Below are 24,117 nucleotides of genomic sequence, written 5' to 3'. Positions count from 1 at the left end.
AGGGGTCCTTGTGACCCTGACCAGTGCCCTATCCTACTGTGGCTGAGCTAGTATCCAAGATGTAAGACAAAGTACAAAGTCCTCTTTTCTCTCTCCTCTCCTCAAGCAGATGGAAGGGATCTCTTTTTAAGCTGTGAGCTGTGCAGCCTGGGGTAGGAATAGGGGTGGCACAAGCACTCCCTTGGCCACCCTGGCTATTGTCTCAGTAGGCTGTGGGCTCCCCCGGTCCACTGGCTCTGAGCCCAGTTCAGCACTAGGACTTGCCTAGGAGTTGCAGTCCTTGTGGCCTAGACTGCCTTTCGAGTTTATTTAGGGCCCCAGAGTACTCTAGCCCACAGTGGTGAGGCTTGAAAGAATTCAAGTTCCAACTGCTGGGATAGGCATTTCCCCTCTGGCTAGAGCTGGTTTAAATATTCTCTCTGTTAGTGCGCATCAGCTGATTTCAGCCTGTTTTGGCTTTCTGCTGTGACAGGGCACCACTGAGTTCAATGCAATGTCTCGCAATTGCTGTGCTCTCTCTCTCCCGAGCACACAGCATGGCTACTGCCAGGGGATGGGGAAGGGGTGGCATTGGCAGTGCAAAACTGTCTCCTACCTTCTTCAGTGCCTCTTTCAATAATATTAAGTTAATACCAAGTAGCGTGAGTGGTCACCTGATTTTTGTTTTTTATGAATGTGCTTTTTCTGTGTGTTGATAGTTGTTAAATTAGTTTCCTTGTGGCAGGAGGAGAGGGAGAAAATTGGTGAAGCCATCTGTTCTGCAATCTTGCTCTGTCCCACTCCCTAATAACAATTTTGAAACCAGGTACAAGAATAATAAGAAAAACTACTATTAATTGACCTCTTGATGTGGCAAACACAATTCCAAGTTATCAAATCATTTAGTTCTCCTAAACGCTCTATGAGGAGGGGCTCTTATTACTCTAGTTTTGCAGATGAGGAAATTGAAACCCAGAGAATAACTTGCCCAAGGTTGCATAGTAAGTGGGTAAGCTGGGCTCTGATCCCTGGCAGATGGCTCTGAGCTTGTTCTAAACCACTACATAGGCTGCCTCCAGCAAGAACTAGAAACTGGAGTAAGGTCCCTACTGCTCTTGTTTCCAGTGGTCCTCAGAGTGGCTTTTGAAGCCTGGTCCTGGCCAGTCATATGGACATTTGTCCTCTCAGCAAGGATGCTCATTTTCAGATGGGTCCCCCTACACACCTAGATGATGTCACTCCCATAGCCTCAAAGGTTATGGCTCTGTGGTTCACATTCGCATGCTGAGCAACTCCCCTCTACCGGAACACCACACCAGGATGGCTTTGTCTTGGGAGGCCTCTAGCGTCAGCCTTATCAACCCTTACCCCCTAGTGCTGGGCTGGGGTTTCTCATCCCAATTTCTTCTTTCCTCCCAGTAAATTCCTTTTTGGGATCATTGACATCCTTTCCTTCCGGTAAATCTTAATTGGAGCCACCCAGATCCAGAGTGACAAGGTTCTCTAACCATCCATCTCAGGGAGCTGCACACCAAGGAGTATTAAGAGAGTTCTCACTTTGACAAGCCACAAAAAGGTTTCTCACATCCTTGTCTCAGAAAAATGGAAAGCTGTTATGACTTCCCCAACATTGCCATAATGTTGGGCGGCTACTAGTATGAACTCAAGAAGGTGTGACAGGAAGCTTCTGACATCCTCTTGCATAAAATCAACACATTGGCTGGGTGCAGTGGCTCATGCTTATAGTCCCAGCACTTTGGGAGGCTGAGGTGGGGGAATCACTTAAGCCCAGGATTTTGAGACCAGCCTGGGCAACATAGCAAGACCTTGTCTCTACCAAAAGTAAAAAATTAGCTGGGCATGGTAGCACATGCCTGTAGACCCAGCTACTTGGGAGACTGAGGTAGAACGATTGCTTGAGCCCAGGAATTTGAGGTGGCAGTGAACTGTGATGATGCTACTGCACTCCAACCTGGGTGACAAAGTACAATCCTGTCTGTAAAAAATAATTACAATGAAGTAAAATAAATAAAATAAACACTCTTGCAAGTTGGTATATATAGGCTGAATTGTGCCCCCCACCACCCAATTCATATTTGAAAGTCCTAACTCCAACTGCCTTGGAATATGACTGTTATTTGGAGATAGGGCATTTAAAATGAGGTAAAATGAGGTCACATGGGTGGGCCTCGATCCAGTCTGACCGATGTCCTTATAAGAAGAGGAAGGTAACACGCAGACCTGCATGCACACAAAGGAAAGACCATGAGGACAAAGTGAGAAGGTGGTGATCTTCAAGCCAAGGAGAGAGGGCTTAGAAGCACCCAAACTTGCTGGCACCTTGATCTTGGACTTTCCAGCCTCTGGAACCATAAGAAAATAAATTTCTGTTGTTTAAGTCACTCAAGTCTATGGTATTCTGTTATGGCAGCCCTAGCAAACTAATGAACAAGGGAAAAGGATAGATGATGATACTGCAGGTACAAGCCAATGACATGCATTCCTGAGAGCCAGTGTATATAGAAGTAGAGAGACGGCATTGGAGCTGGGCAGCCCATGCCTCCGAAGCCTCCTTTTCCCCACCTTCCTGCCTTCCTGTCCACAGTCTCAGAAGGGGAGGAGGCAATGGGAGGCCTGTGATTACTGCCTCAACCGCCCAGATACTTTTCTCTCACAGTGGATTCATGGGGTTTGTGTGTGTGTCTACGCTCACTGACAGTACTATCTTATTCCACCTCTGCCTTTCGAAGTTCAGAAAATCCTAAACTTCTGGTATATGTTGGTCAATTAGCTATTTCTATTTCATCTTATTAAAGCACTCTCTAGTAGATGTAAAATGGAGAATTTTAGCCTGCTCAGTTATCTAAACTGAGGTCTGAAAAATGCTATTGAACTTTTTAATCTTCGTAGATTTTTTTTGAACAACAGCAAAAGGCAGACTATGTTGTTATTCGGACTGGCAAGACCCAGAAGATGTGGGTGGACCAGCCCCAGGACTCATCATTTATTTATTTTTATTCTTTTTTTTTTCGAGATGGAGTCTCACTCTGTCTCCCAGCAGGCTGGAGTGCAGTGGCACGATCTCAGCTCACTGCAACCTCTGCCTCCCAGGTTCAAGTGATTCTCCTGCCTCAGCCTCCCAAGTAGCTGGGATTATAAGCTCCCACCACCATGCCCTGCTAATTTCTGTATTTTTAACAGAGACAGGGTTTTGCCGTGTTGGCCAGGCTGGTCTTGAACTCCTGACCTCAAGTGATCCGCCCACTTTGGCCTCCCAAAGTGCTGGGATTACAGGTGTGAGCTACCGTGCCCGGCCCATCATTGATTGTTAATAGCCAAACCTGTCCCAACCTCTCTGAAGTGTTTGCAGGAGGAAGATTTTAGGGAAAAGGAGCCAAGTCAGCATACCCCAGTTTAGAGCCAGCTCTTCTGTGAATCAATATTCCATGTACCAAAGTGTTTCTATTTGGCTTCCATTCAGTTGGCATTGCAGTTATGATAGTAGCCAGATTCCTTTCCTGGGTGGCCAGAAAAACTCCCTTTATAGAATCTAGAAAAGAAGTATTTAATATATTTTCTCCCTTTGTAGCTTTGTTGGTGTATTGTCACCTTGAGTCAGAAAAAGAGAAGAATTGAGCAAACTTAATATGATTGTCTATAATCAAAATAATCTAAGTTTAATTTTCACCCCATATTTCTCTTTGTTTGTTTGAAGTGTAGGGGATCTAATTTGACTCATCTTCTAAATGTGTGGTACAATAGCACTGTTCATTTCCTATTCCCTGGAATTCTACCGAAAGGATAAGGTTTTTTTTCTCCTTTTATGGTTCTTATCAGCATTAGAAAATAAGCAGAAAATGTTATTGGATTAAATATTATAATCATAATAACAAAAAAGTCCCTTCATGCATTGTTTATAAGCATAGGGAAAGCTCCTTCCGAATACATTATTGAAGCATTTGCCTTGGGCTTCTGTTGGAGGTTAGAGTGGGAGGAATCTAAGATGACAGGAGAGACAGCAGGCGTTTGTGGCTCTTCATCCTAGTGCCCCACTGTTATTATGCTTAAGCTACTCTCCACATGTCTGTTTGTTTCTATCTGACTACCATTTACCTTCTCACTCTATATCTTTTCAGTACCTCATAGCTTTTTTTTTTTTTTGAGATGGAGTTTCACCCTTGTTGCCCAGTCTGGAGTGCAATGGTGCCATCTCGGCTCACTGCAACCTCTGACCTCCCAGATTCAAGTGATTCTCCTGCCTCAGCCTCCTGAGTTGCTGGGATTACAGGCACCCACCACCACTCCCGGCTAATTTTTTTGTATTTTTACTAAAGACCAGGTTTCACCATACTGACCAGGCCGGTCTCGAACTCCTGACCTCAGGTGATCCGCCCACCTCGGCCTCCCAAAGTGCCGGGATTACAGGCATGAGCCACTGCACCTGGCCTCATAGCTTCTTTTATTCCTACGTTCTGTTCTCTCATAATTTCTCCTTACACATGGCCCATCACAGACACTAGTCATCCAGTTTTTTTGGCATTTCCCAGTGAAATGCCTGAGGACGGATTGTGACTCAGCTAATCTCTTCTTTGCAGGCGAAATCATAGATTACACACGTGTCTATGGATTTGGTGCTTTTGGGCCAGACCTTCAGTTTAGAGTGACATGTGTGGCTAGTAAGACATCTTGGGGAAATGGTACAAGCCTAATGGCTGTCTCTTGAGTAGGAGCTGTGGGTGGGGCCTACAGTATACTTCACTTGTGGATACAAAGTCCTCTGCCTCCCTGTACTCAATTAACTGGCTGATTTCGTTACTGGTTATTACATATATCTTCTTTGCTTGCCTTCAATAAAGTGTCTCAGAAATTTGGGGGCTACTTGAAAGGTTAAGAATGAGTAGGGACTGTGACTGGTGACAAGAAAATTTCCCTTTGACTCTGGATATGACTTTTCTGAAGAGGAGGCTTATGTAATAACCACATAATATCCTTAAGCTTTGGTATAGACAGAAGCGTGCCTCTTTCCAGGTCCACAAACCCCTGAGGACTTCACCTCTATTCTTCTATGGTGCATGTTTTCACCACAGGTAAAATCTGTAAACTTCTGTTTGTATTGTAAGATGATGATGATGATTATTATTATTATTGTTATTTGAGGCAGTGTCACACTCTGTTGCCCAAGCTGGAGTGCAGTGGCACGATCATGGCTCACTGCCGCCTCCACTTCCTTGGCTCAAGAAATCCTCCCACCTCAGCCTCCTGAGTAGCTGGGACCACAGATGTACACCACCATGCCTGGCTAATTTTTTAAAAAACAATTTTTGTAGAGATGAGGTCTCCCTATGTTGCCCATACTGGTCTGGGCTCAAGCAGTCCCCCTGCCTTGGCCTCCCAAAGTGCTGCAATTACAGGTGTGAGCCACCACGCCCAACCCATAAAATTGTAATTAAAGATATATAGTAAAATATTGGACCAGATGTCAGCAGAGCTTAACAATTGTAGGAACAGTAATTCAGATGTTTTTTGGTGGTTTGTGTGTGTGTGTGTGTGTGTGTGTGTGTTTAGTAAGGAATCACCAAAGTTTACCTCTTGAATTTATTAACAAAATAGTTGATCACCTACTATGTGCCAAGTACTGTTCTGGGCACTGGGGGTATAATAGTGAACTTATAGATAACCTCTTGCTCTCACAGACCTAGTGATATAAACCAATATGAGGGCCAAGCACAGTGGCTCACCCCTGCAATCCCAGCACTTTGGGAGGCCAAGATTGGTAGATCGCTTGAGCTCAGGAGTTTGAGACCAGCCTGGGCAACAGAGCAAAACCCCATCTCTACAAAAAATAGAAAAATTAACCAGGCATGGTGGTGTGCACCTGTAGTCCCAGCTACTTGGGAGGCTGAGGTGCGAGGATCACTTGAGCCTGGGAGGCAGAGGTTGCAGTGAGCCGAGATCCTGCCATTGCACTCCAGCCTGGGCAACAGAGAGAGACTGTATCTCAAAAACAAACAAACAAACAAAACAAAACAAACAAAACCTAATATGAATAATGTCAGGTGGTAAATTCTGTGGTATTATAAATAATCTCCAAAGATAGCCATGGCTATCATCAGTTCTTTCCCTTCCTGCACATGCATGCTGTTCCTTCTACCAAGTGGTAGAATATATTTTCTCTCTTCTTCTATGAGCTGGCCTTGTTTCCTTCCTTGACCAAGAGCATGTTGCAGAAGTGTTGCTATATCAGTTCTGGGCCCACCTCTGTAAAAGCCTGGCAATTTCCACTTCATCTAAGAGAGAAGTCAGCCACCATGTAAGATATCCAACTACTCTGAGACCACCTCGCTGTGAGGAATGAGGAATTCCAAGCTAGTTACATGGAGAGTCCTTTATGCAGGAGATGTGAGGAGCTCAGATACAGCAAAAGTGAGACCCAATGCATGTGAGGCTCACTCTCAGCCATTAAATCCATCCCAACTGAGGCCCCAAGATGCTTGAACTTTTTTTTTTTTTTTTTGAGACGGAATCTTACTCTGTCGCCCAGGCTGGAGTGCAGTGGCCCGATCTCGGCTGACTGCAACCCCCGCCTCCCGGGTTCAAGTGATTCTCTTGCCTTAGCCTCCCTAGTGGCTGGGATTACAAGTGCCCACCACCACTCCTGGCTAATTTTTGTATTTTTAGTAGAGACAGGGTTTTGCCATGTTAGCCAGGCTGGTCTCAAACTCCTGACCTCAGGTGATCGGCTGCCTCGGCCTCCCAAAGTGCTAGGATTACAGGTGTGAGCCACCGCTCCCAGCCTCAGGATGCCTGAACACCTATCCCACAAAATTGTGAGTAAAATGGTTGTTATTTAAAACCACTAAGTTTTGGGATGGCTTGTTAGGCAACAGTAGCTAACTGGGACAAATGCTAAAGAGAAAAATAAATGAGGGCAAAGAAAGAAAGACAGGTAAGGGTACTATTTTAGAGGGAATGATCAGGGAGGGCCTCTCTGATAAGGAATGAGTCATTTGAGCAGAAACCTAAGGGCAATGAGTGACCAGGCTATTTGGCTATCCGGAACAAGTGCATTCCAGGTGGAAGAGACAGCAAATATTGACGCTGAAAGGCAGGAAATGTTTGGCATAGTCTAAGAACAGCACAAAAGCCAGTGTGGATACAGCACAGTGGCCAAAAAGAAGACTGGTAGGAGATCAAGGCAGAGGAGTAGCAGCACCAGATCAGGGAGGAGAATGATAAGGACTCTGAGTTTGACTCAGGAATTTTTTAGCAGAGGTGTGACATGATCTGATTTGCACGTAAAAGCCTTGCTTTGATGCGAAGACCAGCATATGGGGAAGGCAAGAAAGAAAGCAGGGCAACCAGTTAGCATGCTATTCCACTAATTCAAGTAAGAGTTGATATTAGGTTGGACCAGGAAGGTAGCTGTGGAAATGATGAGAAGTGATTGGCTTTTGGTTTTATTTTGAAGGTAGTACCAACAAGAAGTCCTGATGGATTAGATTGGGGTATGAGAAAAAGAGAGGAATCAAAGATAATCTAAGCACCTAGCAGAATAAGGTTTCTATTTACTGAGATGAGTAAGAATGAAGGAGCAAGTTCAAACAGAAAAGTTGAATTTGGTTCTGTAAGTGTTTAGTTTGAGGTGTCTACTAGACAACTAAGGTGGTTTAATATGTGAGTCTGGGGTTCGAGAGAATGGTCATAGTTGAAGATATTTATTTGAGAGCTACTTATAATGGCAATTAAAGTCACAGCATTTGATGAGACTAGATAGAGATGAACACAGCTACAGAAAAAAAGAGGTCTCAAGAGAGAGCCACGGGGAATATGAAGAAGGACCAAAACCAAAAACCTAGACTGGCTGTCTGGGTTTTCTTCAAATTGATGGGAGTGACAGGGTGGAATGTTCCACCCTGTCACTCCCATTAATTTAAAAAATGGGAGTGACTCTCACCTGTAATCCTAGGTCTTTGGGAGGCTGAGGCAGGTAGATCACTTGAGCTCAGGAGTTTGAGACAAGCCTGGGCAACATGGCAAAACCCCACCTCTACAAAAAATACAAAAAATAGCCAGGTGTGGTGGCACGTGCCTGTAGTCCCAGCTACTCGGGAGGCTGATGCAGGAGAATCTCTTAAGCCCAGGAGGTGGAGTTTGCAGTGAGCCAAGATCGTGCCACTGCACTCCAGCCTGGGCGACAGAGTGAGATCCTATCTCAAAAAACAAAAATGAAAACAAAACAAACATACAAAAAGCCTATACAAATTTGATAAAGCACCCATCAGAAGACTCTGAAATGTGAAGAAAAAAAGGCAGAATGATTGGGAACCTTGAGAATTAAGAAACAATCCAGAGGTGACTTCCCTGTTTATTTGTTTTGTTTTGTCTCCTATATACAATAGCCTGCTCCCTGGAGAAGCCCACATTCCAGAAATGTCAGTAAGCACAGACCAAAAAAATGCCCCAAGAAAAGTCCACTTTCCTTTGCCAAAAAATCAGGAAAAGCGTGGCTCAGCAGGACAGAAACATTTTGATTATACCTGCCTTATTCCAGGTGAACACCACAAGCAAAGCCTCACTCCTCTCTCTCCCAACTAGAAAGTGGAAAGGATTACTGAGAAAAGGGAGCTAAAGAAAGTGATCTTTAAAATCTGTGTACGAAATCCTTGGCAGACCTCTGAACAACTCATGTGTGAGACTGACTAGAAATAACACAACAAAAAGCTTCAGGACTGAACAATGGTCTGGAACATCACCCAGGTTTCAGATTGACCTGTGGGTAGCACACACATGAGCAGACCAAAATAGTATTGCAAAGCCTTTGAAAACTAAATGTGTATTTGGACCACAGCCCACAAAAGTAGGCTGATAGGCTTTGGCTGTGTCCCCACCCAAATCTCATCTTGAATTGTAGCTCCCATAATTCCCAGGTGTTGTAGGAGGGGCCTGGTGGGAGATAATTGAATCATGGGGGGCAGTTTCCCCCAACTGTTCTTGTGCTAGTGAATAAGTCTCACAAGATCTGATGGTTTTATAAGGAGTTTCCTCTTTTGCTTGGCTCTCATTCTCTCTTCCCCCTGCCGTGTAAGACGTGCCTTTTGCCTTCTGCCATGATTATGAGGCCTCCCATGCCTCCCATGTGGAACTGTGAGTCCATTAAACCTCCTTTTCTTTATAAATTACCCAGTCTTGGGTATGTCTTTATCAGCAGTGTGAAAATGGACTAGTACATAGGCCAAGATATGTGTTCTTAACTTAAACAGGTTAACTGCCTGCTATAATAGATTTGAATAAGGACCAAAGTCTCATAAAATAATACTCAAACTGTCTAGGATATAATAAAAATGACCCATCATACCAAGAATTATGAGAATCTCAGCCTGAATGAGAAAAGACAACCAACGCTAGCCAACATTGAGATGACACAGGCGTTGAAATTATTTGACAATAATTTTGAAGCAACTATGATAAAAGTGCTCCAACAAGCAGTCATGAACATTCTTGAAACTAATGAAAAAATAGAAAGCCTCAGCAAAGAAATAAAAGATATAAAAATGAACCAAATGGGAAGTGTAGAGCTATACAATAACTGAAATAACTCACTTGATGGGCTCAATAACAGAATGGAGATGACAGAGGAAAGAACCAGTGAACTTAAAGATAGATCAATAGGAATTACCCAATATGAATAAGAGAGAAAATAGACTGGAAAATAATGAACAGAGCCTCAGGGACCTATGGGACAATAACAAAATTTAGTAAAAGACATAAACCTAAAAACTTAAGAAGCTGAGCAAATCCTAACAGGATAGACCTAAAGGAATCGGCAGTCAGACACATCATAATCAAATTTCTGAAAAGTAATGACAAAGGAAAAATTCTTGAAAGCAGCCAGAGAAAAACGATGCATTCCCCATAAGTAATGTTCACAGTAGCTTTATTTGTAATAGCCAGAAACTCGGAACAAGCCAAATGCCCTTTAATGGGCAAATAGGTAAAGTGGTACATCCATACAGTGAACTACTACTCAGGCAGAACAAGGAATATATTACTGATACATGTAACAACTTGAATTATGTTTTTTCTCATGTTTTCTCATGTTATTATGCTGAGTGAAAAAAGACAATTTGCTGTGTTGTTTCTCAAAATGTTCAATTTATATGACACTCTTGAAATGACAAAATTTTAATGATGAGAACAGATTAATGGTTGGCGGGGGCTAGGGATAGGGTATAATTATAAAGAGGTAGCAAAAGGAAGTTTCTTTGTGGCAGTGGACTAGTTCTGTGTCCTGATTGTGGTGGTGGTTACATGAATCTATACTATACAATCACCCCTCAAAGTAAACATATATAAAAACTGGTGAAATCCACCAGTTCTATAGTTCTGTAGTTTCATTAAGTTCATTCAGTTCCATAGTTTCTGTTCTTTCTTCCTTCCTGCCTTCCTCCCTTTCTCCCTTCCTCTCCTTCTCTCCTTCTCTCCTTCTCTCTTTCTCTCTTTCTTTCTTCACAGTTTCGCTCTTGTGGCCCAGGCTGGAGTGCAGTGGCATGATCTCGGCACACTGCAACCTCCACCTCCCAGGTTCAAGGATTCTCCTGCCTCAGCCTCCTGAGTAGCTGGGATTACAGGTGCCTGCCACCATGCCTGGCTAATTTTTGTATTTTTAGTAGAGACGGGTTTTCACCATGTTGGCCAGGCTAGTCTTGAACTCCTGACCGCAAGTGATCTGCCTGCCTTGGCCTCCCAAAGTGCTGGGATTACAGGCGTGAGCCACCCGCACCCGGCCAGTTCTGTAGTTTCATTAAGAGTATTGTGACAATGTCAGTTTACTGCTTTTGATTATATACTATGGTTATGTCAAAAGCTATCGTTACAGGAAAGCTGGGAACAGGTATATGGGATCTCTCTATAGTATTTTTGCAACTTCTTGTGAGTCTTAAATTATTCCAAAATAAAAAGTTAAATAAAAACTAATAAGAAATAATCAATGAGGTGGAAGAAGAGTCCAGAGGCCACAAGAAGAAAGTCTTTCACGTAGACTGAAATGACCACAGGATTTGGTTACGTGGAGGTTGTTAGGGACTTAGGACAAGAGCAGTTTTTGTGGAGATACAGGAACGAAAGCCTGACTGGAGGGTGTTCAAGAGAGACTGAAAGGAGAGGAGATGGGAACAATGAATATAGTGTGGAAAAGTTAAGGTTCATTTTGAAAAACAACAACAACAACAACAACAACAACAACAACAACAACAAAACAGGCTGGAGGTGGTGGCTCACGTCTGTAATCCCAGCACTTTGGGAGGCAGAGGTGGGTGGATCACTTGAAGTCAGGAGTTTGGGACCAGCCTGGCCAACATGGTGAAACTTTGCCTCTACTAAAACTACAAAAAGTAGCTGGGCATGGCGGTGCATGCCTGTAATCCCAGCTACTAGGGAGGCTGAGACAGGAGAATCACTTGAACCCGGGAGGTGGAAGTTGCAGTGAGCCGAGATTGTGCCACTGCACTCCAGACCGGCTGACAGAGCGAGATTCTGTCTCACAAAACAAACAAACAAACACCCTCAAAACCAAATAGAAGGTCAGTCATGGTGGCTCACGCCTGTAGTCCCAGAACTTCGGGAAGCTGAGGTAGGAGGATCTTTTGAGACCAGGACGTTGAGACCAGCCTGGGCATTATGGCGAAGCCCATCTCTTCCAAAAAAATACACAAATTAGCCAGGCGTGGTGACACATGCCTGTTGTCCCAGCTACTTGGGAGGCTGAGATGGGAGGAACACCTGAGCCAAGGACATCAAGGCTACAGTGAGCCATGTTTGCACCACTGCACTCCAGCCTGGGTGACAGAATGAGACCCTGTCTCAAAACAAACAAACAAACAACCTGAAAAAACAACAAAACACATTAATTTCTATCTCATAGATTTTTTTTCATGTTACATAAGCTACATGTTAAGTTGTAAATCACCATTAAATTATTTAACTTTGTAAGTAGGCTCTGGTGTTATAAAATACGTGATACTTTCCTGCCTTGTTTTGTACATCTGTTTTTAAAAATACAATTATGTCACTCTGAGGGCCTCTGAGGGATAAATTATACTACTTGTTAATAACCAGGGTAGCAAGAGACAGTGTTTGAAGATAAGATGGAAAAATAATGCAGCAGATTAATTAATAATGTGACACATCTGGATGTTTTCAACTCTCAGACTGCAGTAATGATCCTATCTCCTTGACTACCAGCAGTTCATGCTTGTTGTCAAAAACAAAAACAGTCTTGCAGAAGCTTAAAGTAGAAATAGTAAATAGAAAACTGCTTTCTCTCTGCAAAAAACAAACAGAAAACTCCACCAAAATGCTTTTCCTGTAATCCCAATAATACGATTTGTTATAAACAGATAAACAATGTAAGTTAAAGGCGAGGCCTTATGCTTGACAAAATTAAGAGATCTACGTAGCACTTTCAGAAGAAGACTTAACTGAGATTCCAACTATAGCATCTGTGTTGGAAGAAAAAAGTCAAGACCAAAAAAACATAATCAAAGAGTCAGAGGCCAGGTGCGTTGGCTCACGTCTGTAATCCCAGCACTTTGGGAGGCTGAGGTGGGCAGATCACTTGAAGTCAGGAGTTCAAGACCAGCCTGGCCACTGTTGTGGAACCCCATCTCTACTAAAAATACAAAAATTAGCCAGGTGTGGTGGCACACACCTGTAGTCCCAGCTACTCGGGAGGCTGAGGCAGGAGAATCGCTTGAACCTGGGAGGCGGAGATTGCAGTGAGCTGAGATCACACCACTGCACTCCAGCCTGAGTGACAGAGTGAGATTGTCTCAAAGAAATAATTTAAAAAATTAAAAAATTTTTAAAAGGCCGGGCACAGTGGCTCACGCCTGTAATCCCAGCACTTTGAGTGGCCGAGGTGGGTGGATTACCTGAGGTCGGGAGTTCGAGACCAGCCTGGCTAACATGGTGAAAACCCATCTCTACTAAAAATACAAAAATTAGCCAGGTGTGGTGGTGGGTGCCTGTAATCCCAGATACTGGGGAGGCTGAGGCAGGAGAATCACTTGAACCTGGGAGGCGGACGTTGCAGTGAGCCGAGATCGCACCACTGCACTCCAGCCTGGGAGACAGAGCGAGACTCCATCTCAAATAAAATAAAATATAAGAAAGAATCTGGTTCAACATGCCCTGTGATCCTATCTAATCAGGACTCTGAGACAACTTCACCACATTGTTGTAATGAGAGAACCTAATGAATACCTGAAGCTCTGTTCTTAAAGAATAAGAGATAATACCAGTGTACATACGTGTAGCAGTTCAGTTCATCAATATCGCATCACTAATAAGTTTGTTTGTTTACTCTCTTGCTGATTCATTCGTTCATTCATGTATTTAACAGTTATTTATTGAGTACACCTACTATGCTAGACCCTGAGAATATAAGAATGGACAAGGTATGGTCCCTGCTGTCCACACAGTGCTTGCAATCTAGAGGGGAAAACCAAACAAAACAAAAACAGACAATTACAAGATAATGTAGTAATTATTATTATTGCTAACCTTTATTGTGTTCCACCCATGTGCTAGGTGCTATCCTAAATATTTGTCATGCATTATCTTAGTGAATTCACGCAACACCCTTATGAGTTAAGTGCTATTATCATTCCTATGTCAAAGATGAGAATAATAAAACCAAGAGTGCTTTGGTAACTTAATCAAGGCCACGCAATTTGGACAACGCCAGGGATGTCTTATTCCAAAGTCAGAAGTCAACTATAACAGCATCTGAAGCCTAGGGACTCAGGTAAGTTTTCCTAGACTGGGTAGCTTTAGCAGGAGGTGAGTTTAGAGAGATGACCAGGGGTCACATCATCACAGGTCTTTCAAACCCTCTAAGGATGTATCCTGAAAGCAATGCAATAGCATTTGTTTTAGTTATTATAACCTTGTAACTGTCAGTTCCAAAATGTAGGGGCTTAAAACAAGTACCATTTAATTGCTCACAATTCTGTCAGTTGGGAATCTGAGGATGGCTTAGTAGGGGCAGCTTGATCCCTCTCCATGTGTTGTCAACTGGGGTGGCTCCACAAGCAGTGAAGGATCCTAGATTACCTCATTCACATGTCTAGGACCTTGGTGGAGGATTTTGGCTGGGTGGCTTGCTTCTCTTTCACATAGCTTCCAAAAGAGCAGAAACGGAAGCTGCAAGGTCTCTTAAGGCTTAGGCCTTGAGCTGAACTGGCATAGCACCCATTTCCATCACATTCTATTGGTCAAAGCAGGCTACAAGATCAGACATGATTCAAGGGGAAGAAAGAGGCTCCACCTCTTGATAGTAAGAGTGGCAAAGTCATGGTGAAAAAGGCATTCAGGATGGGAAGGAGTGTTGTGGCAATCTTTGGAAGCAATCTACTACATCACAATGTTTTAAGAAGGGGCACAGCACGCAGGAAGGAGTAAGAAGACTGCTGCAGTTACCTGGGGCAGCAAGGGGGTAGGCCTGAATCCCAACCTGATTGACAACCAGAATTATCTGAGGCACTTATTAAAAATACAGATTCCCAGGCCCTGCCACAGACCTACTGAATCTGAACCCCTAGAAGTGAAGCCTGAAAATATACATTTTTAATGCTCTTTCTTTCAACAGATATTTGTTGGACACCTACTCTGTGCTAGGCACTATTCTGTGCTCTGGGGATAAAAAGTAGTGAATGATATAGACAAGGTTCCTGTTTTCTCCTGGGGGCAGGGAGTGAGGTGGGGGAAACAGACAAAAAAAAATTGAACAACTAAATAAACAAATGAATATATTTTTGTACCAAGATTATCCTTTCTGAAAATAAACAAAATCGGTTACTGTAAAATCATGACAAATACTTGAGAAAACAGGTGGAGATGAAAAAAATGGACATGTATATAAAGGTTATTTATTATAGCATTGTGGTAATGGCATTAGATTTGCGAAAAGTAGTTTTATTGAAGTGTGATTTAGGTACAATAAACTGCACTCACCTAAAGTGTACAATTCAGTAATTATTTTTTGAGATGGAGTCTCGCTCTGTCACACAGGCTGGAGTGCAGTGGCGTGATCTCTGCTCACTGCAACCTCCACCTCCTGGATTCAAGCGATTCTCCTGCCTCAGTCTCCTGAGTAGCTGGGATTACAGGTGTGCACCACCACACCCAGCTAATTTTTTATATTTTTGGTAGAGATGGGGTTTCACCATGTTGACCAGGCTGGTCTCAAACTCCTGACTTCAAGAGATCCACCCTCCCAGCCCCCTGCGCTTGGCCTACCAAAGTGCTGGGATTACAGGCGTGAGCCACCACGCCTGGCCCAATTCAGCAAATTTTGACAGATGTCACATCCCCTTATTCCCATATCCAATCCCCAGAACAACCACTGATCTGCTTTCTGTCACTATAGATCATCTTGCAATATTTAGAATTTCATGCAAATGGAATCATACAGTACATAATAGCAAGAGATCTTTCCTCACCTAAATGAACAGCAATAGTGGTACTTTGTGGTACATCTATTCAATAAAGTATTATGCAGCTGGGGGAGGGGAAGCTTTTCATGTATTAACCTGAAATAATTTCCCAAAAATATTGTTCAGTGGAAAATGCATGGCACAGAACAGTGTGTAAAGTGTGGTGCCACTTATATACAAAGGGAAAAAAATATACCCATATATCTGCTTGTCTACACATAGACCATCTCTGATAAAAGCTGGCAACATAGGTTGCCTCATGGGAAGAAAACTGGGTGTCTGGGAGATGGGATGGGGAAATGACTTTTCACTATAAAATGTTTTGTTCTGGCCGGGTGCGGTGGTTCACACCTGTAATCCCAGCACTTTGGGAGGCTGAGGCGGTCGGATCACCTGAGCTCAGGAGTTCGAGACCAGCCTGGCCAACATGGCGAAACTCCGTCTCTACTAAAAATATAAAAATTAGCAGGGCATGGTGGCAGGCGCCTGTAATCCCAGCTACTCAAGAGGCTGAGGCACAAGAATCGCTTGAACCTAGGAGGCGGAGGTTGCAGTGAGCTCAGATCATGCCACTGCACTCCAGCCTGGGCAACGAGAGCAAAACTCTGTCTCAATAAATAAATAAATAAATAAAATGTTTTGTTCCTTTTGAATTTTGCACCGCACGAGTTTATCACTGTCTTAGTCTGTTTGTTCTGCTATAACAAAATAACCTAAGACTAGGTAATTTATAAAGAACAGAAATTTATTTCTTACACTTCTGGAGGCTGGGAAGTCCAAGATCAGGGTTCTGGCACTGATATCTGGTGAGGGCTGCTCTCTGCTTCCAAGACAACACCTGTTGCTGTGCCCTCACATGGTGGAACGTGGAAGGGCAAGAAAGAGCCCTTTCCCTTCAAACTTAAGCGCTTTTATCAGGGTGCTGATCCCATTCATAAGGGTGGAGCCCTCATGACACAATCACCTCTCAAAGGTCATACTTCTTAACACTATTGCATTGGGGATAAAGTTTTAACATGAATTTCCCAGGGGACACAAACATTCAAATCACAACAATCACCTATTCAAAGAACAACTAAAGGCTGGGCACGGTGGCTCATGCCTGTAATCCCAGCACTTTGGGAGACCCAGGTAGGTGAATCACGAGGTCAGGAGTTAGAGACCAGCCTGGCCAACATGGTGAAACCCCGTTTCTATTAAAAATACAAAAAATTAGCTGGGTGTGGTGGCAGGCACCTGTAATCCCAGCTACTCAGGAGGCTGAGGCAGGAGAATTGCTTGAAGCCAGGAGGGGGAGGTTGCAGTGAGCTGAGATCGAATACTGCACTCCAGCCTGGGCGACAGAGCAAGACTCCATCTCAAAAAAACAAAACAAGACAACAACAACAACAAAACAAAGAACGGCTAAAATTTTAAAAATTTAAATTATAATAAATAGAATGAGAAATTTCCCTAACCTTGGTAGATGACTTTATATATTATGTAATGTCAAATGGACTATAAACTTCAAATGTTCTAATTCAAATTCGATTAAAATTATAGTCAAAACCAGAAGCCACAACTAAACAAACTGATCTTGAAATGCATATGGAAAAGGTAGCCAGAGAAATCTGAAAAAACAGAAGAGCAATGATAGAGGAACCAGAATGATCAGATATTAAGACATATTATAAAGCCTTAAGAGTGTAACTAGGGCCAGGCACAGTGACTCATGCCTGTAATCCCAGAACTTTGGGAGGCTGAGACTGGAGGATTAAGTGAGCCATGATTGTGCTACTGCACTCCAGCTTAGGAGACAAGGTGAAACCCTGTCTCAAAAAAAAAAGAGAGTGAACTTCAATATAAAGAGATAGACCGAGGGAATAGAAGAGGAAACCCAGGAATGGAAATTGATACATAATAATTGAATCAGTAGGAAAAAAATGGACTCAGTGGAGTACCAAGCTAGGAAGAGGGACAGTGCGATGGCTCACCCTAAGTATAGAAGCATAGGGGTTCACCATTATGAAGAATTTGCAAACAATAATAAGGATGGATAAATCAGTCTTATTTTTATCATCATCAGGCATCAGTGATTCTGAAGAATGTCAATGATAAAATTCTCCTCCTACTCCAGCTGCTGAATGGACTGCTCCTACCCCCACCCCCACCTTCTTTGGAATGCTACTGAATGGAATATTTAATATAGTATGTTGGGACAAGTGGATAGCAACAAAGAAATAAATGAAAATGATTCAAATAGAGATTAAAGGCTTTATATAGCCAATGGGCATCTGGGAGCACCTCAAAAGTAGGTAACTTCCTGAGCCAAAGCAGAATTGGAGTTGTCATCAGTAGGGAGAAGAGAGGAGTAAATGACTTTGGTCTTGTCCCAGATGCAGTTTCTTTATCTGTAACCATTGCAAAACTTGCAGTTAGAATGAATGGAACAGGTTTGGTTTTTCAGCTCTTTCTTGGGATGGTTGGTGTAAGGTGCAATTTCACGTTGACAGCTGTGTGTATGCGTGTGTGTGTGTGTGTGTGTGTGTGTGTGAAAGAGAGAGAGAGACAAAGAGAGTGAGAAAGACAGAGATAGACATAGAGACAAAGAGGTGACGAGTTAAGAAAGGGGGGCAGGGAAAGAGAGAGTGGAAGTGAGGGAGTGAGTGAGGGAGGGAAAGGGGGAGAGAGAAAGAGAGAAAATTTACAATCAAACCAAGGAATAAATGTTCTCTACTTGACACCTCTTAGGCCAGTTTGGGTCATTGGTCATTACCTCTGGAGTCATAACAGTTCCCAGAGAGAAATGCTGGATTAATTGTTGTAAGCCTGGGATTTGGCTTCTCAGGTAGGGGCAATAGGATTACCATGACTAGCCTAGACTTCTCAGGACCTGCCCCTCAAGGTGAGCTGGTATCACCTTCACTAAATTATAAAGGCTGAACAAATGGAGGGAGAGATACTTAAATAAAATTGGGGTTTCTTCAACAAGCAGGATAAAGGATGGATGCTGGGTAGGTAACCAACAATGTCACCACATATACACTTATTCCAAAGTGAAGTGCACATGTAGAAATTTTATTTATTTATTTATTGAGATGGATTTTCTCTCTTGTTGCCCAGGCTGGAGTGCAATGGTGCAATCTCAGCTCACTGCAACCTCCGCCTCCTGGGTTCAAGCAATTATCCTGCCTCAGCCTCCCGAGTAGCTGGGATTACAGGCGTCTGCCACCACTCCTGGCTAATTTTTGTATTTTTAGTAGAGATGGGGTTTCTCCATGTCAGTCAGGCTGGTCTCGAGCTCCTGACCTCGGGTGATCCACCCGCCTTGGCCTCCAAAAGTGCTGAGATTACAGGCGTGAGCGACCGTGCCCAGCCAGAAATTTTATTATAGTGAACTTTTAAAGTACCTATAAAGGTATAGGTACTATACCTATACTATACTATACCTATAAAGGTATAGGTACTATAAAGTTTTGTAAGTAAACATGGGGGCCACAGAAGGCAAAACAGTACAGTGTTTGAGCATGAGCTGTGAGGTCAGATTACAGTGGCTTGAATCCCAGGAACTTGTGACCACAGCCAAGTTAAGATTCCTGAACTTCACTTTCCTCCTATGTAAAATGGGGATAATGGCTGGGAGCAGTGCAAAGGACATGAACAAGCAATTCCCAGTCATGGAAATGCAAAAGAGCTACTAAATATTTAAAATAATTTAGGCTGGGCATGATGGCTCATGCCTGGCACTTTGGGAGGCAGAGACAGAGGATGCTTGAGCTCAGGAATGCAAGACCAGTCTGGGCAACATAGCAAGACCCCATCTCTACAAAAGAATTTAAAAATTAGCTGGACATGGTGGCGTGTGCCTGTGGTCCCAGGTACTTGGGAGACTGAGATGCGAGGATCACTTGAGCCTGGGAAGTCGAGGCTGCAGTGAGCTCTGATTGCACTCCAGCCTGGGCAACAGAGTGAGACCCTGTCTCAAAAGTAAAATAAAATAAGGATGGTGCTGCTGATGATAGTATGGTGCTTTCATAGAATTGTTGTGAGGATTAAAAGAAACAATGTATGCTAAATCAGAGTAGTTAGTAAGTGCTCAAAATCACTATTAAATAATTGACCAAAGATTAAAATGTTTTGTAATACTGAATTTGATTAACAATTGCTCTTATTTTATTAGGATTTGACAGAATTTCTTGAGATGTTTTACACGACTCAGCCTATTAGCATCTGTTTTCCCCCTGGTAGGATTGACATGTGTTAACATACCCATCGCTAGATTCCTATGGCAAGAACAAGAAGTTCACCTGACGAAGCATGGGCTGATCTACCTGGCCCCTCCACCTGAAAGAACCAAATCTATGATGACATTTATTTTATTTTATTTTATTTTATTTTATTTTATTTTATTTTATTTATTTTGAGACGGAGTTTTGCTCTTGTTGCCCAGGTGGGAGTGCAATGGCATGATCTTGGCTCACCACAACCTCCAACTCTGGGGTTCAAGTGATTCTCCTGCCTCAGCTTCCCGAATAGGTGTGACTACAGGCATGTGCCACTACACCTGGCTAATTTTCTGTATTTTTAGTAGAGATGGGGTTTCTCCATGTTGGTCAGGCTGGTCTCGAACTCCCAACCTCCGGCGATCCACCTGCCTCAGCCTCCCAAATTGCTGGGATTACAGGCATGAGCCACTGTGCCTGGCCTTATTTATTTCTTTTTGAGACAGAGTCTCACTCTGTTACCCAGAATAGAGTGCAGTGGTGCGATCTTGGCTCACTGCAGCCTCTGCCTCCTGGGTTCAAGCAATTCTCGAGGCCCAGCCTCCTGAGTAGCTGGGATTACAGGTGTGCACCACCACACCAGCCAATTTTTTTGTTGTTGTATTTTTAATAAAGATGGAGTTTCACCATGTTGGCCAGGCTGGTCTCAAACTCCTGACCTCAAATAATCTGCATGCTTTGGCCTCCCAAAGTGCTGGGATTACAGGCATGAGACATCATGCTGGCTTATGATGACATTTTCAAGGTAGCATTTATTAAAGACCTTCTCCCTTTCCCACCTTTCAAGGCAATGTCTGTAAGTTGACTCCTCGCTCATAATTTTGATGTGATTCAGAGTCTCTGTAAAGCTCTAAGGCTTCAGGCAATAGAAGTTTTATGTAATTTTTTTTTCTTTTTTTTTTTTTTTGAGACAGAGTCTCACTCTGTCACCCAGGCTGGAGTGCAGTGGCATGAACACAGCTCACTGCTGCCTCAAACTCCTGGACTCAGGGTCTCCTCTCACCTTGGCCTCCCAAAGAGCTTGGACTACAGGCACACACCACCACACCCAGCTAACTTTGTTATTTTTGGTAGAGACGGGGGTCTCGCTATGTTGCCCAGGCTGGTCTCAAACTCTTGGCCTCAAGGGATCCTTCCTCCTTGGCCTCCCAAAGAGCTGGGATTACAGGCATGAGCCACTGCACCCAGCCTCTTTTCCCAACTCTTACACTGCCCTTAAAAATAATACACTGCCATGGCCCAGCACAGTGGCTCACACCTGTAATCCCAGCACTTTGGGAGGCTGAGGCCGGTGGATTGCCTGAGCTCAGGAGTTCGAGACCAGCCTGGATAACATGGTGAAACCCCATCTCTACTAAAATACAAAAAAATTAGCTGGGTGTGGCAGCGTGCGCCTGTAGTCCCAGCTACTCAGGAGGCTGAGACAGGATAATTGCTTGAACCCAGGAGGCAGAGGTTGCAATGAGCTGAGATCACCCCACTGCACTCCAGCCTGGGCAACAGAGCAAGACTCCGTGTCAAATAATGATAATAATGATAATAATAATAATAATAATAATACAGCGCCCTGTAAAAAATATTTTCAGGCCAGATGTGGTGGCTCACACCTGTAATCTCAGCACTTTGGAAGGCCAAGGCAAGAGAATCTCTTGAGGCCAGGAGTTCAAGACCAACCTGGGCAACAAAGCAAGACTCCCTATCTCTGTACTTTTTTTTTTTTTTTTTGAGACAGAGGCTCATTCTCTTATCCAGGCTGCAGTGCAGTGGTGCAATCTCGGCTCACTGCGGCCTCCGCCTCCCGAGTTCAAGTGATTCTCTTGCCTCAGCCTCCCAAGTAGCTGGGATTACAGGCACACACCACCACGCCTGGCTAATTTTTGTATTTTTAGTAGAGACAGGGTTTTGCCATGTTGGCCAGGCTGGTCTTGAACTCCTTACTTCAGGTGATCTGCCCACCTTGGCCACCCAAAGTGCCGGGATTACAGGTGTGAGCCACCGAGCTTGGCCAAAATTTTTTTTAAAAGATAAAATAAATTAAAAAATATATATTTCCAGTGCCACTGACCTCCCCTGTTATAACGAGAGGTCATGACAGGATGGATGTCTCTTATGTACATGTGCTGGAAACAAGTTCAATGTGAAGTGAGAAGACAAAGCAGGAACCTGGGGTGGAGGGAAGGTGAAAGAAACAATAATAAATAAAGATGTAGTCAGAAATTCTTAATTTTAATGCCTTACCCTCCAATGCCCAGGCTTGGACTCTTATGCGTTTTCAGTTTTGCCCATTCACAAATTAGTTTCATCTATAAACACAAAATTGACTCTTCATTCTTAGCTCTCCTTATTTCAAAAGGGCCAAAGAATCTGTAAAGTAATTCTTGTTGTATTTCCACAGATTTTGTTTTTATGTCTGTATTAAAGTTTAAAATAACAACAATAAACAATCTTGTCTGGGGCCGGGCACAGTGGCTCACGCTTGTAATCCCAACACTTTGGGAGGCCAAGGCAGGTGGATCACTTGAGGTCAGGAGTTCAAGACCAGCCTAGCCAACATGGTGAAACCCCCTCTCTACCAAAAAATACAAAAACTTAGCCGAGCATGGTAGCGTGTGCCTGTAGTCCCAGCTACTCAGGAGGCTGAGGTGGGAGAATCGCTTGAGCCCGGGAGGTGGAGGTTGCAGTGAACTGAGATCGCACCAGTGCACTCCAGCCTGGGTGACAGAGTGAGACCCTGTCTCACACACACACACAAAAATCTTGTCTGGTTTTGAAGTGTTTTCAAAAGATTTTCGAAATATTTTACCAGTTTCAAAGAAAACTTGGTATTTAGCATTTTATGTATTATCCACAATTCAACTTATTTGAATGTAATATAATTGCTGTCAGGGAGCTAATGAGAACTGATATACATTTGACTCTTTTGTCCTTTTGCAAATTGCAGTGCCCAAATACAGAGATGTTTCTTTAGGTTTGGGCAAGTCTGGTGAGACCATCTGTGACCTGCACACAGATTTGCTAAAGGACTTTTCTTTAAAAAATAGAACAAGGTGAAAATACTGTAAAGAAAAAAAATTTAGGTAGATGAAATTCTTATCCCATGATGGATGATAGGATGGGAAAGACTAACTCCCTTCATACAGGTCTCATGAATAGGAAACAATACCCATAGCGGCATCGATGGATACAGCCAGCAGGTGGCAGCAGGGGGCCGTGCCAGAAGAATTTACTAACTTGGAAAGGCCCTAGCTAAACTGCAACATGGGCCTTTGGGCTTAGGAGACAGCATCTGTGAGTGGTTGGAAGAGGGTATGATGTGTTTCCCAGCAGAAAAAGAAACGTGAAAGGGTCTTCCAGAAGCCCAGGATTAGCATCTGGTGTCTAAAATGAAGGACCCAGGCCGGGCGCGGCAGCTCATGCCTGTATCCCTGCACTTTGGGAAGCCGAGGCAGGTGGATAGCTTGAGCCCAGGAGTTCGAGACCAGCCTGAGCAAACTGGTGAAACCTCGTCTCTACTAAAAACACAAAAATTAGCCAGGCGTGGTGACGGGCGCCTGTAATCCCAGCTACTCGGGAGGCTGAGGCAGGAGAATCACTTGAACCCAGGAGGCAGAGGTTGCAGTGAGCCGAGATCGCACCACTGCACTCCAGCCTGGGTGACAGAGCGATACTCTGTCTTTAAAATAAAATAAAATAAAAGACCCAGAGTTGGGGTTGGTTGGCAGGGAACAGGGATGGATGCAAAAGAAAGGAGGGGTGGCATAGGAGTGAAACCATCCTCAAGGCAAGGAGGAAGGCATAGGAGAAAGAAGGGAGGAGGGTCAGCCTCTGACAAACAAATGGCAGTGCAGAGTAGGAAGCAGGGTAGAAAGGGTGGGGATCATTTATTTTTGTGTGAACTGGGAGTGGCACTAATTTTAAAAAGCTCTGAGGATAAGTGGAAGCAACTGAAATGTCCATGGATGAATAAATGGATAAGCAAAATGTGGTATATACATAGAATGGAATACTATTCAGCCTTAAAAAGGAAGGGGCCGGGCGCAGTAGCTCATGCCTGTAATCCCAGCACTTTGGGAGGCCAAGGCGGGCGGATCACCTGAGGTCAGGAGTTCAAGACCAGCTTGGCCAACATGGCAAAACCTCGTCTCTACTAAAAATACAAAAATTAGCCGAGCATGGTGCCGGGTGCCTGTAATCCCAACTACTAGGGAGACTGAGGTGGGAGAATCGCTTGAACCCAGGAGGTAGAGGTTACAGTGACCCGAGATTGCGCCATTGCACTCCGGCCTGGGTGACAAGAACAAAACTCTGTCTCAAAAAAAAAAAAAAAAAAAGAAAAGAAAAGAAAAGAAAGAAAGAAAGAAAGAGAAAAAGGAAGGCAATTC

General features: G+C 43.7%; 4 annotated features.

Moving 5' to 3' along the window:
• Positions 5,795-5,920: a silencer, noted in NCBI's record as "fragment chrX:46673232-46673357 (GRCh37/hg19 assembly coordinates)". NCBI's record gives its function as "represses an EF-1alpha promoter that drives an FKBP-Casp9 reporter gene in an ReSE screen in phorbol 12-myristate 13-acetate-treated (for megakaryocytic differentiation) K562 erythroleukemia cells {active_cell/tissue: K562(+PMA)}" and the evidence as "EXISTENCE:reporter gene assay evidence [ECO:0000049][PMID:32094911]".
• Positions 6,889-7,183: an enhancer, noted in NCBI's record as "tiled region #10799; HepG2 Activating DNase matched - State 8:EnhW". NCBI's record gives its function as "activates a minimal TATA promoter and a strong SV40 promoter by Sharpr-MPRA in HepG2 cells {active_cell/tissue: HepG2}" and the evidence as "EXISTENCE:reporter gene assay evidence [ECO:0000049][PMID:27701403]".
• Positions 22,834-22,883: an enhancer, noted in NCBI's record as "active region_29576". NCBI's record gives its function as "activates an Ori minimal core promoter by ATAC-STARR-seq in GM12878 lymphoblastoid cells {active_cell/tissue: GM12878}" and the evidence as "EXISTENCE:reporter gene assay evidence [ECO:0000049][PMID:35858748]".
• Positions 22,974-23,023: an enhancer, noted in NCBI's record as "active region_29575". NCBI's record gives its function as "activates an Ori minimal core promoter by ATAC-STARR-seq in GM12878 lymphoblastoid cells {active_cell/tissue: GM12878}" and the evidence as "EXISTENCE:reporter gene assay evidence [ECO:0000049][PMID:35858748]".

The sequence above is a fragment of the Homo sapiens genome, chromosome X (assembly GCF_000001405.40).
Source record: "Homo sapiens chromosome X, GRCh38.p14 Primary Assembly".
Classification (NCBI taxonomy): domain Eukaryota; kingdom Metazoa; phylum Chordata; class Mammalia; order Primates; family Hominidae; genus Homo; species Homo sapiens.
Note: the sequence above shows the minus strand (reverse complement) of the source record. Positions and strands in the feature narration are given on the sequence as shown.